At 42.0% G+C, this 18,882-nt stretch overlaps 2 protein-coding genes and 1 non-coding gene across 32 annotated transcripts in view, besides 4 other annotated features; 1 reads left to right on the plus strand and 2 right to left on the minus strand.

Annotated features, from left to right (window-relative positions):
- The window catches only part of CCDC186 (coiled-coil domain containing 186), a 53,359-nt gene extending 49,504 nt beyond the window's left edge, over positions 1-3,855 (minus strand). For 3 of the 5 annotated variants that reach the window (NR_135815.1, NM_001321829.1, NM_153249.1), the window contains exons 1-2: positions 3,650-3,855; positions 2,776-2,900 (exon numbers count right to left, since the gene is read on the minus strand). The gene's annotated coding sequence lies outside the window, so the exon portion shown is untranslated. The remainder of the gene's footprint in view (positions 1-2,775; positions 2,901-3,649) is intronic. The other 2 variants (XM_011539915.4, NM_018017.4) reach the window with 2 other exon arrangements.
- Positions 3,520-4,048: an enhancer, noted in NCBI's record as "H3K27ac hESC enhancer chr10:115933644-115934172 (GRCh37/hg19 assembly coordinates)". NCBI's record gives its function as "activates a minimal SCP1, AML or CMV promoter by ChIP-STARR-seq in primed H9 embryonic stem cells {active_cell/tissue: H9 hESC(primed)}" and the evidence as "EXISTENCE:reporter gene assay evidence [ECO:0000049][PMID:30033119]".
- Positions 3,520-4,173: a biological region, named in NCBI's record as "H3K27ac hESC enhancer GRCh37_chr10:115933644-115934172".
- Positions 3,644-3,843: an enhancer, noted in NCBI's record as "active region_4081". NCBI's record gives its function as "activates an Ori minimal core promoter by ATAC-STARR-seq in GM12878 lymphoblastoid cells {active_cell/tissue: GM12878}" and the evidence as "EXISTENCE:reporter gene assay evidence [ECO:0000049][PMID:35858748]".
- On the minus strand, positions 3,740-3,814 carry MIR2110 (microRNA 2110). Its single transcript, NR_031747.1, has one exon. It is a non-coding gene; the product is annotated as a microRNA 2110 (primary transcript).
- Positions 3,904-4,173: a silencer, noted in NCBI's record as "silent region_2842". NCBI's record gives its function as "represses an Ori minimal core promoter by ATAC-STARR-seq in GM12878 lymphoblastoid cells {active_cell/tissue: GM12878}" and the evidence as "EXISTENCE:reporter gene assay evidence [ECO:0000049][PMID:35858748]".
- TDRD1 (tudor domain containing 1) overlaps positions 4,509-18,882 on the plus strand; it is a 57,793-nt gene continuing 43,419 nt past the window's right edge. For 15 of the 26 annotated variants that reach the window (NM_198795.2, NM_001385365.1, NM_001385369.1 and 12 more), the window contains exons 1-2: positions 8,922-9,051; positions 17,461-17,791. In NM_198795.2, coding sequence (NP_942090.1) covers positions 17,467-17,791 — 325 coding nt within the window. In that variant the 5' untranslated portion in view covers positions 8,922-9,051; positions 17,461-17,466. Of the gene's footprint in view, positions 4,531-8,921; positions 9,052-9,229; positions 9,679-11,912; positions 12,003-16,773; positions 16,846-17,460; positions 17,792-18,882 lie in introns of those variants that run through there. The other 11 variants (NM_001385363.1, XM_047425486.1, XM_047425490.1 and 8 more) reach the window with 7 other exon arrangements.

Genomic DNA, 18,882 nt, shown 5'->3' on the forward strand with positions numbered 1-18,882 from the left:
CACCCAGGTTGGAGTGCAGTCAGAGGTCACTTGCAGCCTCAAATTCCTGGGCTCAACTGATCCTCCCACCTCAGCCTCCTAAGAAGCTGGGACTACAGGTACATGCCGCCAAACCCAGCTAATTTTTAAAAATGTTTTGTAGAGATGGAGTCTTGCTATGTTGCCCAGGGTGATCTCAAACTACTGGCATCAAGCAATCTTCTCACCTCAACCCCCCAAAAGTGCTGTGATTACAGATGTGAGCCACCATGGTTGGCACAAATTTAACTGTAATATACTGAGTTTAAGTGAAACAGCATTAGAATAAAAAAGTTTCCTTTAGTTCACCAGTTTGAAAAGTTTGTTTTATGAGACCAAGGTTATTTATCCCTGTGGGGGTATGTTTAGCTTTACAATCCAGACTCAGGGCAAGAACTTTATGATATGTGCATTATATCACACACACACACACAAAGATGTTTAAAAAAAAAGACTTGAGCAATAGATGCGGCAAGACCCCCCCACCCTCCACCAACTCCCAAATAGTACCAAATCCTGTGATAGGATAACAGGACAAAGAGAAATTATGGTCCATCAAAATTCCATGAAAAAGAGGGTCAGTGGCCACATCATAGTTCACCTTATCAAGTTACACCATATATGTCATATCAGCTCGGTAATTTTACATGTCTCCTATAAATACTTTAAAATACTAAAGCAGAAAGTTATCAGAAATGACTTCCTACTAATACAGAAATCTAATTTGAAGATTGCACTTGCACTTTAATGAGTCTAAGAAAACATGAAAAGTATTATCAGCTAATTTTCCTCCAAATCTGAAAAGGAATAAAGTAGGTAAAAAAAAATCTGACCTATAGTTCCTTTTTCAAAAAGGAAGGCTCTCAGGCCTTCCTTTACAGGTGGCTCACACCTGTAATCCCAGCACTTTGGGAGGCCTAGATGGGAGGATCAAATGAGGCCAGGAATTAAGAGAACAGCCTGGGAAACATAGCAAGACCTGGTCTATAAAAAATAATAATATATAATTTTTAATTAAAAAGATTAGTATGGTGGCCTGTGCCTGTTGTCCTAGCTACTCAGGAGGCTAAGGCAGGAGGATTGCTTGAGACCAGGAGTTCAAGGCTACAGTGAATTATGATCATACCACTATACTCCAGCCTGGGTGACAGATTGAGATCTTGTCTCAAAAAACTAAACAAAATGAAGCCTAGTATCTTTAAAAAAAATTTTTTTTCAAGTTATAAGCCTGCATTACATTAAAAAGTTTGGGTTAATGTTTAAATTTTGAAGACACCTTTGGCCAGAGTTGGTTAATTTGGTATGCTCTACTTTATTAAAAACATGAACTGATAGTCTACCGTGGGATTATGTAGTAAGTGCGGTAGACATTACATAGTCTACATAATCCCACAATTATCAGTTCAAGTGTCTTAATGATAGACAAATGTTAATAAGAAATACACTCACAATCCAATCAAAACTATGCTGGTGCTGATTTCCACTTTGTGTCTACTGTCCCTTCATCTCAGTATTTTTCCTTTTTCTTACTTTTTAGCCCAAATACATTTTTTAAATCTCAGTAGCTAAGAAAGTTCAAAGCAGTTTGAAACAATAGATTAAATTATCTATGATCTCACTGCTGCCCCTAAAATGAATACTAAGTATAACATTTGCAATACTGTAAACTCAGTGATATGTTTATGAGAAATTGAAAAACCAGCTTTAGTTATTTTAAGGTAGAGATAAAAGAAAAACCTAAGTTTTACTAAAAGAAAAAAAATTTCAGGGTAAGGATTCTTACTTTAACACGAAACTGTTGCATGAATTTGAGAAACTAGTGCAGATTACCAGTCCTTCTTCAAAGGGAAAGATTATTTTCTAAATCTCCAAATAAAGCTGCTTTGTGCTTCAACCTACTGTCTCTTCCTGGAGTCAGTATACTGCAATGCTTTTATCTTCACTCTGTGATGTCAGCATAAAGCTGCAAATAGATGTTTCTAAACTGAACATACTAAGCAATCATTAGCTATGCTGTCACTGCATAGCATTAAAGGACAACTCTACTTTATGGGTGAAAGAACTAAAAGGTTAGAGTGGTCACTGTGATACACACCAGCCAACCCTTTCCGTTAGCAATAAATAGGACTCAAAAGCCAATGACACACTATGGAATCTCCACTGTTTAAAGAAACCTTAAGTTTATATGCAGTTATTCTGAATTTAACAGGGCCTTTAAAAAACAAACACAATCCATGCATTTCCAGGGAGAATCTTCAGTAATCATACGTTTGCCTATTATGCTGTAAAAAGTTTTAATTCTTAATACTGCAAGATTCGTGATCTAATATCTTCACTGCATTAAAAATAACATGAAAAGACCAGAAATAAAAGAGAAAAATGAACCTAGCCAATCATTACTGTTTTTTATTTGTGTAATGTTGGATAAAGAATTGAAGTTACACAGGGAACAGTGTACATTACACACAGAGATAGTTCAGTTTCACTATCAATCTCTCTTGAACCTGAATCCTTCCCACGAGATGAACACTCGGTAAATATTAAGGTGTACTTGATAGTTGGGAAAGCCACACCCACAACTAGCATACCTAAATAGATAATAGCAGATTAATTTCTTCTGAATGACTACCAGCACACCTCTTGAAACCCTGATTTACTGAACACCTTAGAAGACAACACCCGGCCTATCGTTTTGGAAGAAAAAAAAGCTGGGCATCAAAGGAACATGACACACATGCAGAGAAAACGGCCAAGTACCTGGGACTGTACTGCGTATTTTTACTATATTCTCTCTTCTGATTTCCACAGGTAACAAGATTATCAAGTGAAAGAAGTAGGATTCTAATCCAGATGTTCTGACTCGAAATCCAGGACTTTTTCCTCTAAACAAAATCAAGATGGGAATATTAGGTGAAGTTGTTAAACTGTTAACAGCTAAGCAATACTCACACCTGCACTGTTTCCCAAGATTGCTACTTAGGGACACGTAGAAGGGTTTTTGTTTTGTTTTTGCCATTTTTCATTACTGATGGAGACATAAATCTGAAACCCCTTCCTTACCAACCAAGGTTTATGAAATGCCTTGACGTCCTTGAAAGACAACATAAAGAACAGTATCCACCACTCCAAAGAATCACTTCTAAGGAACTTAGAATCACAGTAATGGAAGTGTTTGGAAGAGGGTAACAAGTCTTCACAACAGTAAATATAAAACACCCACATACAGTCAACTTGAGACGAAAAACGAAATAGGCGATTGAGTCTAGGAAAGATTCTCGAGCAGGTAGGGCTTGGCTGCAGTTCACACGCAGCCCAGGCAATGGGCTCGAATTCAGACGCTCTCGAGGCACAGCCCCCACGACCCCCGCTGACCCCTCTTTGCCACCTCCAAGGTCCCGGAACCGAAGGAGGAAGGCAGGGAGAGGAAAGGGCTTGAAACCCGTTCCCCAGCCCTCCCCTTCCTCCGCGCCCTCAAAGGAGCCAGGCGGGGAGCCCGCTCGACCTCGACCTCCACCTCGCACTCGCCCTCGCCCCCGCCACGGAACGTGCAGGAAGGAGCGGAAGGCTGGCAGCCCCACCGCACCGCCACCGCGACTCACCGGTGTGCCCCGAGTACCCCTCAGACACTTACCCCACTTATCCAAGCCTCAGGCCACGCCCTAACAAGGCTGCTGGAGCTCTGGCTCAGGGGCCAACTTTTCCATAGCGGGGTCCAACCAGCCAAGAGTGGGAGGAAAAGACCGCGGTGAGAAACACAGCCGACGCCTCACTCAGCGGCCGTTTCCCCAAACCCCTGCGGAGCTGACACATCAACAAAGATGGCGGCGACACTGAAGCCGGCCCGGTTACAGCTGAGGGGGCGGGGGCTCCCTGGAGGAACCAATCAGCGCAGCGCGGGCGGGGTGACGCAGCACACCTTGAGGTCCTGGGTAACCTGTCTGCAGTGGGCTGGGCTGGCGGAGCTCACCTCCCACCTCCCGGCCCAGGAGGCCCCACCTTGCGGCCCGAGAGGCCCCGCCCCGCACTCCGCCTGGCTGGGCACCCACGCCTCCGCGACCTGGAGAGCCGGGTCTCCTGCCCTTTGGTCGGGTTCTTCCTTTCAAGCTCCTCCGGACCCACGCAGCCTGTTTCTTTCTGCAGGACGCTCTTGTTGGCTATTACTCCTCCTCACCCTTTGGCCTGCATGAGTCAGGGACATAAAGCAATAAAAGAGAATTTGAAATTGTGGCTTCCCGGCTCTCATGCGGAAACCTTGCACCTTACGTGGGCGGAGTCGGCTGGAGCAGGCTACGATGGGGGAGACCTCTGGGGGTTCCATAACAGCGCGTTCGTGTCTTCAGCGTGGCGCTGCTGCCATTGTTTAATAATAAACTGTCGGTGCCTTCGTCTCTGGCTTCAAGCTGAGCGCATTGATGGTAGGAAGTGTCCTCTCCCGGCTGAGTAACCTGGCACGCAGCATGGCAACAAAAAGTGTATTGGGTACAGTTGCCTCGCCCGGCCCAGAGAAGGAAGGTCAGCAGTTCAGTCTCTGGAGGTTTCGCAAACCTCCTCAGTCCGGGGAAACGATGTTCTTTGGTTTAGGTCTTACACATATCTCATGAATGAAAATAGCTGATGCAGACGATTCTGCAATGTAAGAATTTGTAAAGCAAAACTTACTACTGTTCTGTTAAGCGTCTTCGATACTGTTGGCAAAACACACACACGGAGGTGTAATGGCACCTCACTCCTCCTTAAATGAAGGTACTACACTGAAGCACATTTTGCAGTTAAAGTGTCTTGTCATAGAAAATAAATGATTTGACTTTAAAACAATAAATCGACCAAGCCTTCCTAGGGAGACATTAATCCAAGGGGAAAAAACTGAAGAAACCTTAAGCTGTTTTCGGTACTCGTCAGTAATAACATAGGTATTACTATTTCTGAATATTTCTGAATTTATAATTAGTATAAAGTATATAAATATATCTTTGTGAACCAAGTTTTTCACCATAAGAGAAAAGAAATACAAATATAAACCAAAGACATTATATTAAAATTCTGCAATCCTATATTTGAATTTACAAATATCAGAATTAACTCATGGTACATTTTTTTCGTGAAAAAAAAGGTGTGTCCACTGAAAACTCTTAGAACAGTGACCAACCCATTGCACACTCCTATTCCCCAGATTGTGATCTCTAAAGAGCATTGCCCAAAAAAAGTTACCTTGGCTTCTCTTGGAGGTTAAGTGCTGATTCCCAGTAGGGGCAAGAAATATGCAAGATAGCCTAGGACATATTGCTTGTAGCAGAAAGCAAGGAAGAAAAGCAAAGATAACATGAACTGTACCCAAAAGACTCAGAAGGCAGTTCAAAGATGCCCCAACTTCTCAAACAGGACAAATTTAGCATTCAAAAATAATAACAGCAACTGGTTGAGACGCACTATGTAAAAAAATCAGTGAGTGCATTTATTTTTTTTAATGTCATTGACCCTCTTGGAAAGATGCCAACAAGTCATTACAATCTGAGAACTGATAAAGAATCAAGCATTCATCCTACCTTTCCTGTTGCAAACTGAATGTCAATCAAATAGTCAATGTGGGGAAGCTCTTCTCTGTAGAACTCCATGTAATAATTGCAGAAAGAAAGATAGATGATCACCATTTTGCAAACCCTGATGAAATAATGGATCTAGGTAATGGTCATCTGTGAATCTAGAACCATTAGATGAAAAACTGATAGGAAGCTTCGTATTGTAATGGATGGATGGGGCTGGCACCACTTGAACCTACTAGATCAATCTTAATATCCTCCAAAGTGAAACAACTACATACTATGTATTTTCTGAAATGCTACAATAGAGAAGCACAACACCACCTGTGAAGTATTCCTGCCGGGGGATGCAATCAACAAAATTGAATGGAAAAAAAAAAAAACCCTGCAGTTACTGTAATAAATAAATTGCAAGAGAAGTACAGGATTTAAAGAGAAACCCCTTTTTAAAATATATCACTGAGTGCAAATACAGGATGTTTTGATACTGATTTGAACATATCAACGATTTAAGATAACATCTGAATGGCTGGGTGTGGTGGCTCACACCTGTAATCCCAGCCCTTTGGGAGGCCAAGGTGGGCTGCTTGAGCTCAGGAGTTTGAGACCAGCCTGGACAACACAGTGGGATCCCATCTCTAAAAAGAAAATTAAAAAATAACATTTGAGGTATCTGGAAATGTTTAGTATTAATTTTATGATATTAAGAAATTATGGCCAGGCACTATGGCTCACACTTGTAATCCCAGCTACTGAGGCAGGGTGATGGCTTGAGTCCAGCAGTTCAGGACTGCAGTGAACTATGACTGTGCCACTGCACTCTAGTCTGGGCGGCAGAGCAAGACCCTTTCAGAAAGAAAGGAAAGGAGAGGAAAGGAGAAAAAGGAGAAAAGAAAGGAAAGCAAGAGAAATTATTGTTTTTAAAGTTGGGATATGTTTTGGTGATATTACTTAAAAAGTGGTAATCTCTTAAAGACACCTACTTACAATATTTTTGGATGAAAAGATACAATATCCCAGAAAGTAATAAAGTGCTTAACAAACAAAATACCACCTGATGATAGTATGTGAAGGAACAGAAACCAACTGAAAGAGCTTCCTGTGGCCAAAGCTGGAAAAATCTGAGCAAGGAAATACAGTAGTTTTGGATTAGAAAAGTATAAAATAAGAAAAAAAAAGTATAAAATAAATATCCGAGTCCGTTATTAAATTAGTAAATGGAGAAGAGACAAATCTCCCATGCAGAAGAATTTCAAATAATTTCTGCAGATACTGCATCCTCAAAGAGGGACAACATAACTCCCTACTCCTTAAATGTGGGCTTCAAATAATAGCTTCCTTCCAAAGTGTATAGTATGAAAAGGGAAGGGAAAAAAAAGAATATAGTAGAAAGACCCAACAAACACTACCACAGCCAGATGACCAAATCCTACATCAATTGTCATAATCATATTCATAGGATGTATGCTTGATATGATGCAATAAAAATGGCATTTTTACCTCTGTGGTCTTCCTTCCAATAACCCGTAACTCCTTTCCTACCAGCAGAAAAACATCAGACAAATTCCAAAAGTAGGGCATCCTACAAAAGGCCTGAGAGTACTCCTGGAAACTTGACATCAAGGTCATCAAAACAAAGTCTAAGGAAGTCCCATGGCCAAGAAGAGCCTAAGGATCCATGAAAACTAAATGTAATATGATATCCTGATGAGATCTTGCATCAGAAAAGGGACAGTAGGTAAAAACGAAGGAAATCAAAAAGATGGGCTTTAGTTAATACTGTATCAATGTTGGTTCCTTGGTTCCTTAATTATAACAAATGTATCATGCTAACAGACCATGCTAATAATAGGGGAAACGATGTGGCTTCTGTCAGAACTCTGTACAGCACCTTCTTTTCTTTCTTTCTTTTTCTTTTTTTTTTTTTTTTTGAGACAGTCTTGCTCTGTTGCCCAGGCTGGAGTGCAGTGGCAGTGATCTTGGCTCGGTGAAACCTCCGCCTCCTGGGTGCAGGCGATTCTCCTGCCTTAGTTTCCCAAGTAGCTGGGATTACAGGCGCCTGCCACCACACCCAGCTAATTTTTTTTTATTTTTTTATTTTAAGTAGAGACGGGGTTTCACCATGTTGGCCAGGCTGGTCTCGAACTCCAGACCTCAAGTGATCTGCCTGCCTCGGCCTCCCAAAGTGCTGGGATTACAGGCATGAGCCCCCACGCCCAGTCAGCACTTTCATTTCACTATTCTGTAAATCTGAAACTGCTCTAAAAAATAAATTTAAAAGACACATCAACTAAAGAAAAAAAATCAGGCTTTTAAAGAATTGAAGTTAGTGAAGTTAGTTTTATTCAGAGTCTTACTGAGGACTGCAACCAGGGAGAGCCCAGAGAATTTCTGTTAAACTACTCCAAAGCAGTGGGTCAGCACACTTTAAATATTAGGTGGTAGAGGTTCTGCCCAGGGGTTACATTAAAAGTGCCCAGAAGCTATATAAGATCAAAATATTTTCAAAGTTTGGGTGCGAGAGTAAGTCTAGGCATCATCATTAATCTTGTCCGTTAGGTACAGAAAAAGGCAAGGCCTAGATCTCTGAAAGTATCTTTTCTAAAAATGCAGTGACTCTGAGAGGTGGGAACCTGAGTTCTCTCCGCAGTCTTCAAGGCATTCTTCTGGAGGGCTGAGATGTTACTAAGTCAAGGGGTCTGAAATGCTGACAAACACAGTGAACAAACGTGGCTTTTTCACAGTGAGGGAGGACTATGCTGGGGGCCAGAAGCAGACGTTCGCTACTTTGTCTCACATTTACAATTCTCGGATTTGCTTCAAAACATTGCCCGAAGAGTGCCTGGGCTGCAGATGTAGACAAGATTAACCATGAATTGATAAGGTAGAAACTAGATGATAGGCACACAAGGGTTCCCTTATGAAATTGTTAGAAAAGTTCCATAGCAAAAAAAAAAAAAAACAAAACTTAAAAAGCTTGTCTTTAAGTAACACCAACAGGTATAATCACATGCCCTCAGTCAGGAAGCAAAGAAAAAAAGTATGAGCACGTGTGTGTTTACTTTCCAAGACCAGGCAGAGGCTGTTGATTATTTGGAAAACCTTGGAAGACCTTTAAGTGGCCACGGTGACCCAAGTGACCTTCGAGGAGACAAAGTCTGCATCTTTGCGCCCAAATTTGCCAAAGGCGTTGCCAGAGACATCTTTCTAGAAGAAGCTAGAACAAAATAAAAGTTTCTGCAAAGGAACTTTTTGAGCCTGTAACTAGAGCACAAGCTGCTTCCGGGGAAGGCGGAGGGAACACGTGGGCACATTGAGTTGCACGTGGACGCGGAGTGCGCAGGCGTGCGCTGAGGCCAGGAGGGCGCACTGGGGATTGGAGGCGAGGGAAGTGCAGGGCGCATCCCAGGCGGCAGGGCTCCCAGCATCGGCAGTCGCCATCACCGCCAGACCGCAGAGACAGGTTCGGATCCGCGGTCCTCTTGCCTCTTTCCAGGTCAGGGTTCCCAGGCGTATAGGGGAGGGAGAGGGCCTGCATGAAGGGGAAGGGAGGGGGCTTCGGTCGTTGGGGGCCAGACGTTGGGCGCTGGACGTTGAGGTTGGGCGTTGAGCGGGTACAAGGGGCCTGGAAGTGGAGAGAGGAGACTTGGAACCTTGCTGCGAGGGTTTGGTGTGGGAGGATTCTCTGAGTTTGGAAATAGCGCTTCCAGGCATCACTCCTTCAAATGCAAACGTTCACCTTCTCTCTAAGAGAAACTTGCATGTGGATTCAGTGCCTTCGTTTGACTAAAAATTACGATACAAACAATATTAACATTTACTAGACTTTTTTTTCCCTACTTTCCTCCTATAGGAAAGGAAGATGTGCTAGGGCATTTACTTAGATGTGGGTCAGCTGGCGCTAGTTTGTTTAAGGAGTTCCTGCTGTGTGCCAGTAGCTTTTCCGGGCCCTAGGGTCCTTGCTATAAATACGTTAGCCCTGCTGGGCTTCTGAACTAAGGGAGCTAAATGCTTCCAGCTTCCTTAGTGAGGCAGCACGGTGCTGTATGCTTAAATCCAAGGCCGTGGAGTCTGACCTGCGTTTTTATCTAAACTGTGTAAGGTGCTGGCCCTGGGTGGTTTGGTAAGTTATTCCAACTTCCCACGTCTCCCTTGTTTATCTGTAGGAATAACGAAATAAAAATACTTTAGTCCTCAAATTATTTTCATCTTAAGCCTGCAAGCTGGTTCCACAGGAATGGAAGAAATTTTGTGCTTGTAGGAGTGGTATAAAAGTAAAGCAGAAATAATAGCTGCCCTTTAAGCCCTTAGGAAGTACTAGCCACTGTGCTAAGTGATTTACTTCGTCTCTCATTTAATTCTCGTGATTAGGATTTGTGAGGAAGTTAACTACTGCCCTCTGCATTTTACAGTCGCTGAATCCTAGAAAGATGAAGTGATTTGCCCAAGATAGCGTGGCTAAATGAGGAAGACGAGACTTACCTGGCTGACTTAAGAGCTCATGCTTTACCGAAGCGTTGCGTTTTGTCTGTTTAAAACCGGAGTGTTTTTGTTTGTTCTTTGAGTAAGAGTTTCACTCTTGTTGCCCAGGCTGGAGTGCAATGGCGCGATCCCAGCTCACTGCAACCTCCGCCTCCCGGGTTCAAGCGATTCTCCAGCCTCAGCCTTCCTAGTAGCTGGGATTACAGGCCAGCCACCGGCGCCCTGCTAATTTTTGTATTTTTAGTAGAGACAGGGTTTCACCATGTTGGCCAGGCTGGTCTCCAACTCCTCACCTCAGGTGATCCGCCCACCTCGGCCTCCAAAGTGCTGGGATTACAGGCGTGAGCCACAGCGCCCAGCCAAAACCGGAGTGTTTTCTTTGAGTAGAATGGTTCTTGCAGAATACATGGGGTTGCCAGGAAGACAAAAGCAAACATCAGAGAAGGAAAAAAATGACAGCTGAGTATCTGTGCATACACTTTTGTTGTTAAAAGAACTCCAGCCTGTGGTATCCTAGAGGGAGAAGAAATGACTTACCCCACTATTCATAGTGTATCTTAGGAAGCCCCCAGCAACATCAGGGAGAACCGATAGGATTCCAAAGAAAAGAGAGGGTCTACCCTTAGGGAGCTTCAGGACTTAATGGGTTCAAAGCGTGAAGTACAGAACAAAGAAATCCAGAAAGCTGAGCCCTCATTTTTGCCTGTAGAACTATAGAAATGAGTCACTTTCAGTCCACTACTCTTCTAGTACATCAGTGATTCCTAATTCTGAGAAAATGAGGTACTCTTTAACGTAGAGAAATGTTGAGACCCTTCTAGTTAACCTTTTATGTTAGCTGAATCAACATTTAATTACTGTGGATTCCAGAATGATTAAATATATTTCTATTTATCACTAGTAGCATGAAAAAATAGTAGATTGTATATAGGGGGAATTATTTTAAAACTGGGTGAGGTTAGCCGATGTGGCTTCAGGGCCTGTGCAGCAATAATCTGTCACATTTGTTTACCTGGGTATCAAGTCTAAAGCCTGAGGTTGGGAATCACAGTATTATGCCATAGGGCCTGCCTACTTGTGATTCAGATATTCCCAGTGGTTGATACAGGATGAACCAAGTAGGAATAGATGCTAAGTCTTACTGGTGTTTTGTAATGTTAAAAATTCACGGCCCAGTGCGGTGGCTCACACCTGTAATTCCAGCGCTTCGGGAGGCTGAGGCGGGCGGATCACCTGAGGTTAGGAGTTTGAGACCAGTCTGGTGAAACCCCGTCTCTACTAAAAATACAAAAATTAGCCGGGCGTGATGGGGCATGCCTGTAGTCCCAGCTACTTGGGAGGCTGGGGCAGGAGAATTGTTTGAACCCAGGATGCAGAGGTTGCAGTGAGCCGGAGATCATGCCGCTGCACTCCATTCTGGGCGATGGAGCGAGACAACATCTCAAAAAAAAAAAAAAAAATTCACCCTTAAAAGCCTATTCTGTATCCCAGTTGTGGTGGCTGCCTAAATCTATGCCTGCGTTACATTCATAGAACTGTAAATCAAAGAAATCAAAGTCCATGTAATGGTATGATAATTACATATTTAAAAATAAATTCCAAAAGGTTTTAGGTGACTGAACGTTTTATCTGGATTCACAGTAGTACTGGCCACCTGCTCCAAAAGTTAATGCATAAATGGTAGTGTTCAAACTCAGGGACATCCTGACTTTCCTGTTGACGGGCTGCCAACCCGTGTCTGGAATCTTGTATTCCATTATGAGAGTCATGTCAGTATAAGAGTCTCAGATATTTTTGAAAGGTTGTGGTCACAGGGCAGCAACAGCTGGGAAGGGGAACCATTTTACAAAAAACACTGCAGCACAATTGGCTGTCCCGAATGAAAGGAAACAAGAAGTTTGTGGTCCCAGAACAGGTGTAGATGTCTATTTGCCCTGGGTGTTGTAACGAAAATTCCTGAATAGGGTGAGTCCTTCAAACATTCTCCAAATAGGGTGGACCTTCTTTTAAGTAAAAATCCTCTTTATTTGCTACTTAAACTTTATCGTGAGTCTAACGCGGATGTTGTTTCTAAAGTCAAATATATTTACTAATTTTTGGATTTTGGAGGAATTGTTTTGAGACATGAAGTTTTGTTATTAAATTTCAGTAAACCTCATAGCCTGATGTGCTTCTCCACTTAAGACTGCCAGATGTCATTTCGGACAGCAGGTGTCATTTTCCCTGTCCAGGTTGGCATGAAAGCAGTGCAATAGTGCATTTAAAATAGTTTTTATCATACGAATATCTTTTTTTTTTTTTTTGAGACAGTCTTGCTCTGTAGCCCAGGCTGGAATGCAGTGGCGTGATCTCAGCTCACTGCAAGCTCGCCTCCTGGGTTCATGCCATTCTTCTGCCTCAGCCTCCCGAGTAGCTGGGACTACAGGCACCCGCCACCATGCCCAGCTAATTTTTTGTATTTTTAGTAGAGACGGGGTTTCACTGTGTTAGCCAGGATGGTCTCAATCTCCTGACCTCGTGATCCGCCCGCCTCAGCCTCCCAAAGTGCTGGGATTACAGGTGTGAGCCACCGCTCCCGGCCAATCATACGAATATCTTTTGAATGCCTAGTTCTATAAAGCACCATGGTGGATATTGCAGGAAGTCAAAGGTATTTTTGTTCAGATTTTTAAAAATAAGAGTTCCTGCACTCAGGCAACTTAAAATAATTTAAATGACAGATATAACTGTCTATAGGTAACTGTAATACAGGGTATTGAGGCGCTGACTGTAGATTGACAGCCAGCATGAGTTACTAAGTAAGGACAGTGTTATGAAAGACTCTCGGGTGTAACACACAGCAGCATACTGAGGATCCAACTCAGTGTCTTAAGAAGATGACTATACGCTAGTTTTATGGTTTAAATATTGCTTTGATCCTTTACTTGATTTAGAATTAAGTTACCACATTTTTGGAAAAAAGGTTTACTATTAGATGATACTTCAGTCTTAAAAATGTTTTCATCTATAAAAATGATTCATTCAATATAATTTGGAAAATGAAAAAGACAGTGAAAAAGATATCCTCATCAACCCACCTACCCCAGAATACTCATTGTTATTTATAATGTAATATGTTTCATTCATCTTTTTTTAACCTGGAGTTTTGATTTTCTTTTGCGGTTATAATTATATTGAATATACAGGTTTTTTACTGCTTTTTCATTTGCCATTCTAACAGACATTTTACGGTGTTTCTGGAAACTAAGATTCTGAATGATAGTATAATAGGCTGTCTATTAAAGCCATCACAGTTAACTTTTTTTTTTTTTTTTTTTTGAGACAGTCTCGCTTCGTTGCCCAAGCTGGAGTGCAGTGGCGCAATTTTGGCTCGCTGCAACCTCTGCCTCCCAGATTCTAGGCGATTCTCCCACCTCAGCCTCCTGAGTAGCTGGGATTACAGGAGCCCACCACTCCTTGGCCTCCCAAAGTGCTGAGATTACACGTGTGAGCCACTGTGTCCGTGCCTTTTTTGCTATTTTGAACGGGACATTTTTATATATGGCATTTTTTGGTATTTAGGATTATTTTAATGGCATGATTTCTAGATGTAGAGGTACCAAGTCAGTGGCTAGGAATGCTTTTTAAAAACCCCATAGATATATACTTATATATTTCTAAATTGCTTCCCAGAAAGAGTATATTAATTGATACTCCCTTCAGTAATGAGTGGCTTAATTTTTTAATTGCACCCACTAGGCAGAAAATGCATACTTATTTCAATTTGAATTTTTTTTTTTTTTACTATAAATAGGGTTGAATGCTTTTCCCCTTATGTTTATGAACTTACCTTCTTCCTCTCTGCATTCTGTTCATGCCTTTTTGTCATTTATTTTACTGTATTGATTGGCCTGCAAATAACAGCTTATTTGATGCCTCAGCGTGTCTCTGCATAGGCAAACCAGAGCTGGAGTGATGACGCAAAGGAACCGCCAGACACACTTGGCTCTGCATTTTCTCCTTCACCATCCTCAGGCTGTGCTTATTACTCCCTAATTACAAAATGGGTGATAAGTCTCCAGGCCTCAGGAATGTGTTGCAGGAAGAAAGGGGTGAAGGCCTGTGCTAGCCACATCTGTTCCTGTTCTTCAGGATAGGGAAGAGCTTTCTCAGAAGCCCCCCTCAGGAGAACTCTGTGGCCAGTAGTGTCGCTAACTGTAGCTGGCAAATCAGAGGTTGAATAGCGTTTGAGTCTGCTACAGTTTCTGGAGGTTCTTAATATTTATCCCACTTTTGAAAAGGTATCAAATTTGTCATCTTTGTGATAGTATTTCCTGGACTCTTTGCTATTTTGGTAAGTTTTAATTGTCACATGGTTATGTTTGCTATCATTTCCTTTGTGATTTTTTTAACTACTTTTAAACTAAAGAAACTCTTCACCTGTGGCTATTGCAGTCTGATTCTCTGTGAAGCATAATCTGAGATGGAGATTTGTGTGTATTGTGATGAGTGAATGTAGCATGTATGATACTAGTTTTTTTGTAGTCGAGGTGGTTTTTGCAGTCCAGCATATACTCAGTGTTGAAAAAAAGGAATATTCTTGGTTGTATTAGTCCCAATTAGGTCAAGTTTATTGTTACTCATACAGTCTTTACTATCGCCTGTTTTCTGAGTAGTAGTTGTCTAAGATAGATGTGTCCTAATCATAGTGGACTGAATTTCTTCTCCTTCAGTCGGGTTTTGTTTTACACACCTCAAAACAACATTATAATGATTCAAAGATTCCTGGCTGCTTTATCTCCTTGGAGTGTTTGTTTTTTGTTTTTGAGACAGAGTCTCATTCTGTTGCCCAGATTGGCGTGCAGTGGCATCATCTCTGCTCACTGCGACCTCTGACTCCTGGGTTCAAGCTATTCTCCTGCCTCAGCCTCCCGAGTAGCTGGGACTACAGGTGCGTGCCACCACACCCAGCTAATTTTTGTATTTTTAATAGAGACAGGGTTTCACCATGTTGGTCAGGCTGGTCTCGAACTCCTGACCTCAAGTAATCCACCTGCCTTGGCCTCCCAAAATGCTTGGATTACAGGCGTGAGCCACTGTGCCCAGCCTATGTTTTCTTAATTAATGTAAAATATCTTCACGTGTCTCAATAGTTTCTACCTTGAGTTTGATTTTATGTGCTACTGATATTAACATTATATCTTTTTTGTTTTCTTTTATTTCAAGGCGGAGTTTTGCTCTTGTTGCCCAGGCTGGAGTGCAATGGTGTGATCTTGGCTCACTGTAACCTCCACCTCCCAGGATCAAGCCATTCTCCTGCCTCAGCCTCCCAAGTAGCTGGGATTACAGGCGTACACCACCACGCCTGGCTAATTTTTTGTATTTTTAGTAGAGACAGAGTTTCACCATGTTGTCCAGGCTGGTCTCGAACTCCTGACCTCAAGTGATCCACCTGCCTTGGCCTCCCAAAGTGCTTGAATTACAGGCATGAGCCACCGTGCCTGGCCTAACGTTACATCTTTTAGTTGTTTGCATAGCACATATTTTAGTCCTTTTACTTGGAACCTTACCATATAATTTGGTTATATGTGTGCCTTTTGTGCCTAACATTTTACTGAATAATTTTCTCCCTGAGTTTTATCTAACTAAGACTAACTCATTGATACTTGGATTACTTGGGCTTGATTCTGTGATCTTACTTGATGTTTTCTGTACTTGAATTTTTTTTTCTGTTGAATTAAGATTTCCTGTGATTTTAAAGTTATATATTCTGTTTCTGTTTGTCTGGGAGTTACTCTAATATTTTAATGCACATTCTTTGTATTTCTTATACAGAGTCTAGACTTTATTCCTCCCCCAACCACCACCTGATTCCCCTGGAGTTTTTTTGTTTGTTTTTTGAGATGGAGTCTCGCTGTGTTGCCCAGGTTGAAGTGCAGTGGCACAATCTCGGCTCACTGCAAGCTCCGCCTCCTGAGTTCATGCCATTCTCCTGCCTCAGCCTCCTGAGTAGCTGGGACTACAGGCACCCGCCACCACGCCTGGCTAATTTTTTTGTATTTTTAGTAGAGACGGGGTTTCACCGTGTTAGCCAAGATGATCTCGATCTCCTGACCTCGTGATCCCGCCTGCCTCAGCCTCTCAAAGTGCTGGGATTACAGGTGTGAGCCACCGCGCCCAGCCTTTATTTTTCTTTTGTAATTGAACGACATTGCTCTCTTATTACACAAAACATGGCAGTTCTCAGCCTGTCCCTTCAATTTAGGCGTGCTTATCCATAACAGTTTTACTTCCCCTGGCAGCTGCAGGATCTCCCCCATCGCTGCCCACCTGCAGTCATTCTGTTAGGGGTCTTCTCAGGGTCTGGTCCAATAAGAGTTCCCTACTTTCGAGGGTGCCTGTATATTTTTGTTTTTATTTCATTATCTTGTCTGTATTCTCATTGGATTAGGTTAGGCCTAATTTAAAATAAGAAATGAGATAATAAGTTGTAGGACACCAACTGCTATTTATTTTTTTTCTATTCAAGACCATGTTAAACAACATTTAGATATTACTCATGCCAGTTTCAGCTGTGACATTTTTCCTCCCGCTCAGCCATTTTGGGAGCAAAGCTATCAGTCACTACTTCAGAAAGAAGAGGTGTTCGTCCCTTTTAATTCCCCTGGGCAGGGCACTTAGAATTCTTTAAGAGTAACGGAAAAACAAGCCACCATCTTTTGTGGATAGAGGTTTCTCAGAGACACTTTGTGACAAATTAAACTTGGAAAGCTTGCAACATTTCCAACTTATTTTCAGAGAAAGATGCATAGATAGGTCCTTAAAAGCAGTAGGTATAAATTACAATTTGTGGAAGTTCAGCTGGAGATGATCAAAGCAGAGGCCTTGGCAAAACAGGAGGGAAGAGGGGTCAGCTGAGATGGATTGTGAAGCCTGCCCAGGATGGTCAGGCAGTGAGTGCGAGGGCATTCTGGGTAGAGGGTTCAGCATATTCAAGGATTAGATATAGCATAAAGTAGGAGAGGGTAGAGGGATTGTGAGAAGGTAGAAAGGTAGGTGACGACCTGATTTAAACACACCTCTTCCGTTGCATTTTGCCATTAAAGTGTAAGCTTTAGGTTGGGAATATTTTAAAACATGAAAGACCTTTTCAATTAGTGTTGCCTCAAAAGCTTTTAAAAGTAAGGAATGGTGTTGAACGCTGAGATTTTTGATTTTTCATGAGTTGGTCTGTTGATTTCTGTTAGAGTTCATACTTACAGAGAACTGGTGTTTTTCTTGTGCCTTGTCGGCCAAGTTTTGATGTCATGGTTATATCTGCTTTGGAATTGTTTTATAGGCATTATCTGTTACGTAAATATATTTGGGAGAATTCCTCTGAGCCTGCAGTTCTTCTGAAATTTTGAAATTAAAAGTTGTCTCTTAAATACATTTCTCTCCTTAGGCCTCGATGAGTGTTAAATCGCCATTTAATGTGATGTCAAGAAATAATTTGGAAGCACCTCCTTGTAAGATGACAGAGCCATTTAATTTTGAGAAAAATGAAAACAAGCTTCCACCACATGAGTCTTTAAGAAGTCCTGGAACACTTCCTAACCACCCTAATTTCAGGCTGAAAAGCTCAGAGAATGGAAATAAAAAGAACAATTTTTTGCTTTGTGAGCAAACCAAACAATATTTGGCTAGTCAGGAAGACAATTCAGTTTCTTCAAACCCGAATGGCATCAACGGAGAAGTAGTTGGCTCCAAAGGAGACAGGAAAAAATTGCCAGCAGGTGAGTGAAAACCACAGGCTTCCTACTTCTTCATTCTCATGGTTTCTGTGACTTACCAGAAGTATATATAACCACACACCAGTGGGCTATTAGCAGAACAGGCACATGACTACCTTACCGTATTTGCATTTCATTATTAATTTAGAAGGAAAAACCAGATACCAAGTGGCTACCTTTGGCTTCATTAATCTCAGAAAAAATTCCTGGGGAGAGAATGAGCTTTTTCCCCACAGAGGACTATACTAGGAATGTAGAAAGGAAACACTCTGGCTTTTTTATGGGTGTTCTAAAGATTGACCCGTATCTTAAAAATACTGTGCAAACTTCATGCATATATCGCAAAGATATAGCTAAGATTTTAACTGGTTTCACGTGATTTATTTTATCATTCCTTTAGTTCCCGTTCTAAAAACCTCTCTTGGCTGGGTGAGGTGGCTCACGCCTGTAATCCTAGCACTTTGGGAGGCCGAGGTGGGCAGATCACGAGGTCAGGAGTTCGAGACCAGCTTGGCCAACATGGTGAAACCCCATCTCTACTAAAAATACAGAAACTAGCCGGGCGTGGTGGCACAAGCCTGTAGTCCCAGCTACTTGAGAGGCTGAGGCAGGAGAATCGCTTGAACCTGGGAGGCAGAGGTTGCGGTGAGCTGACATCGTGCCACTGTACTCCAGCCTGGTGACAGAGCGATACTCTGTCTCAAAACAAAATAAAACAAAATGAAAAAAAAAAAAAAAAAAACCTTTCTAAAGAGGTTAGGACCTGGTAGAATTTAGCCTCTTTGAAGGTATATGAGTTGTGGTCTTCTAACATGGTGATATAATTCTCAGAATGTGCGCTTGGGCCTCTGGGCTTCCCCAGGAGGTCAAAACTGTTTTCCTCACAGTATTTGTCTTTTCTGCTATGCCAACTTTATACTAATGGTGCAAAAGCAAATTATTAGCTCAGCTTAAGGCAGGAGCGCCAACCTGAGTTTTTCATCGTCATGCACTTAAAAGGAAAACCAGAAATGCCAACTTCAGTTAAAAATGCACTTGATTGAGCAGTAAAAAGTATTCTGTTAAATCTTGATCATTGTGTGCAGTATTTTTAG

The sequence above is a fragment of the Homo sapiens genome, chromosome 10 (genome assembly GCF_000001405.40).
Source record: "Homo sapiens chromosome 10, GRCh38.p14 Primary Assembly".
In the NCBI taxonomy this organism is placed as follows: Eukaryota; Metazoa; Chordata; class Mammalia; order Primates; family Hominidae; genus Homo; species Homo sapiens.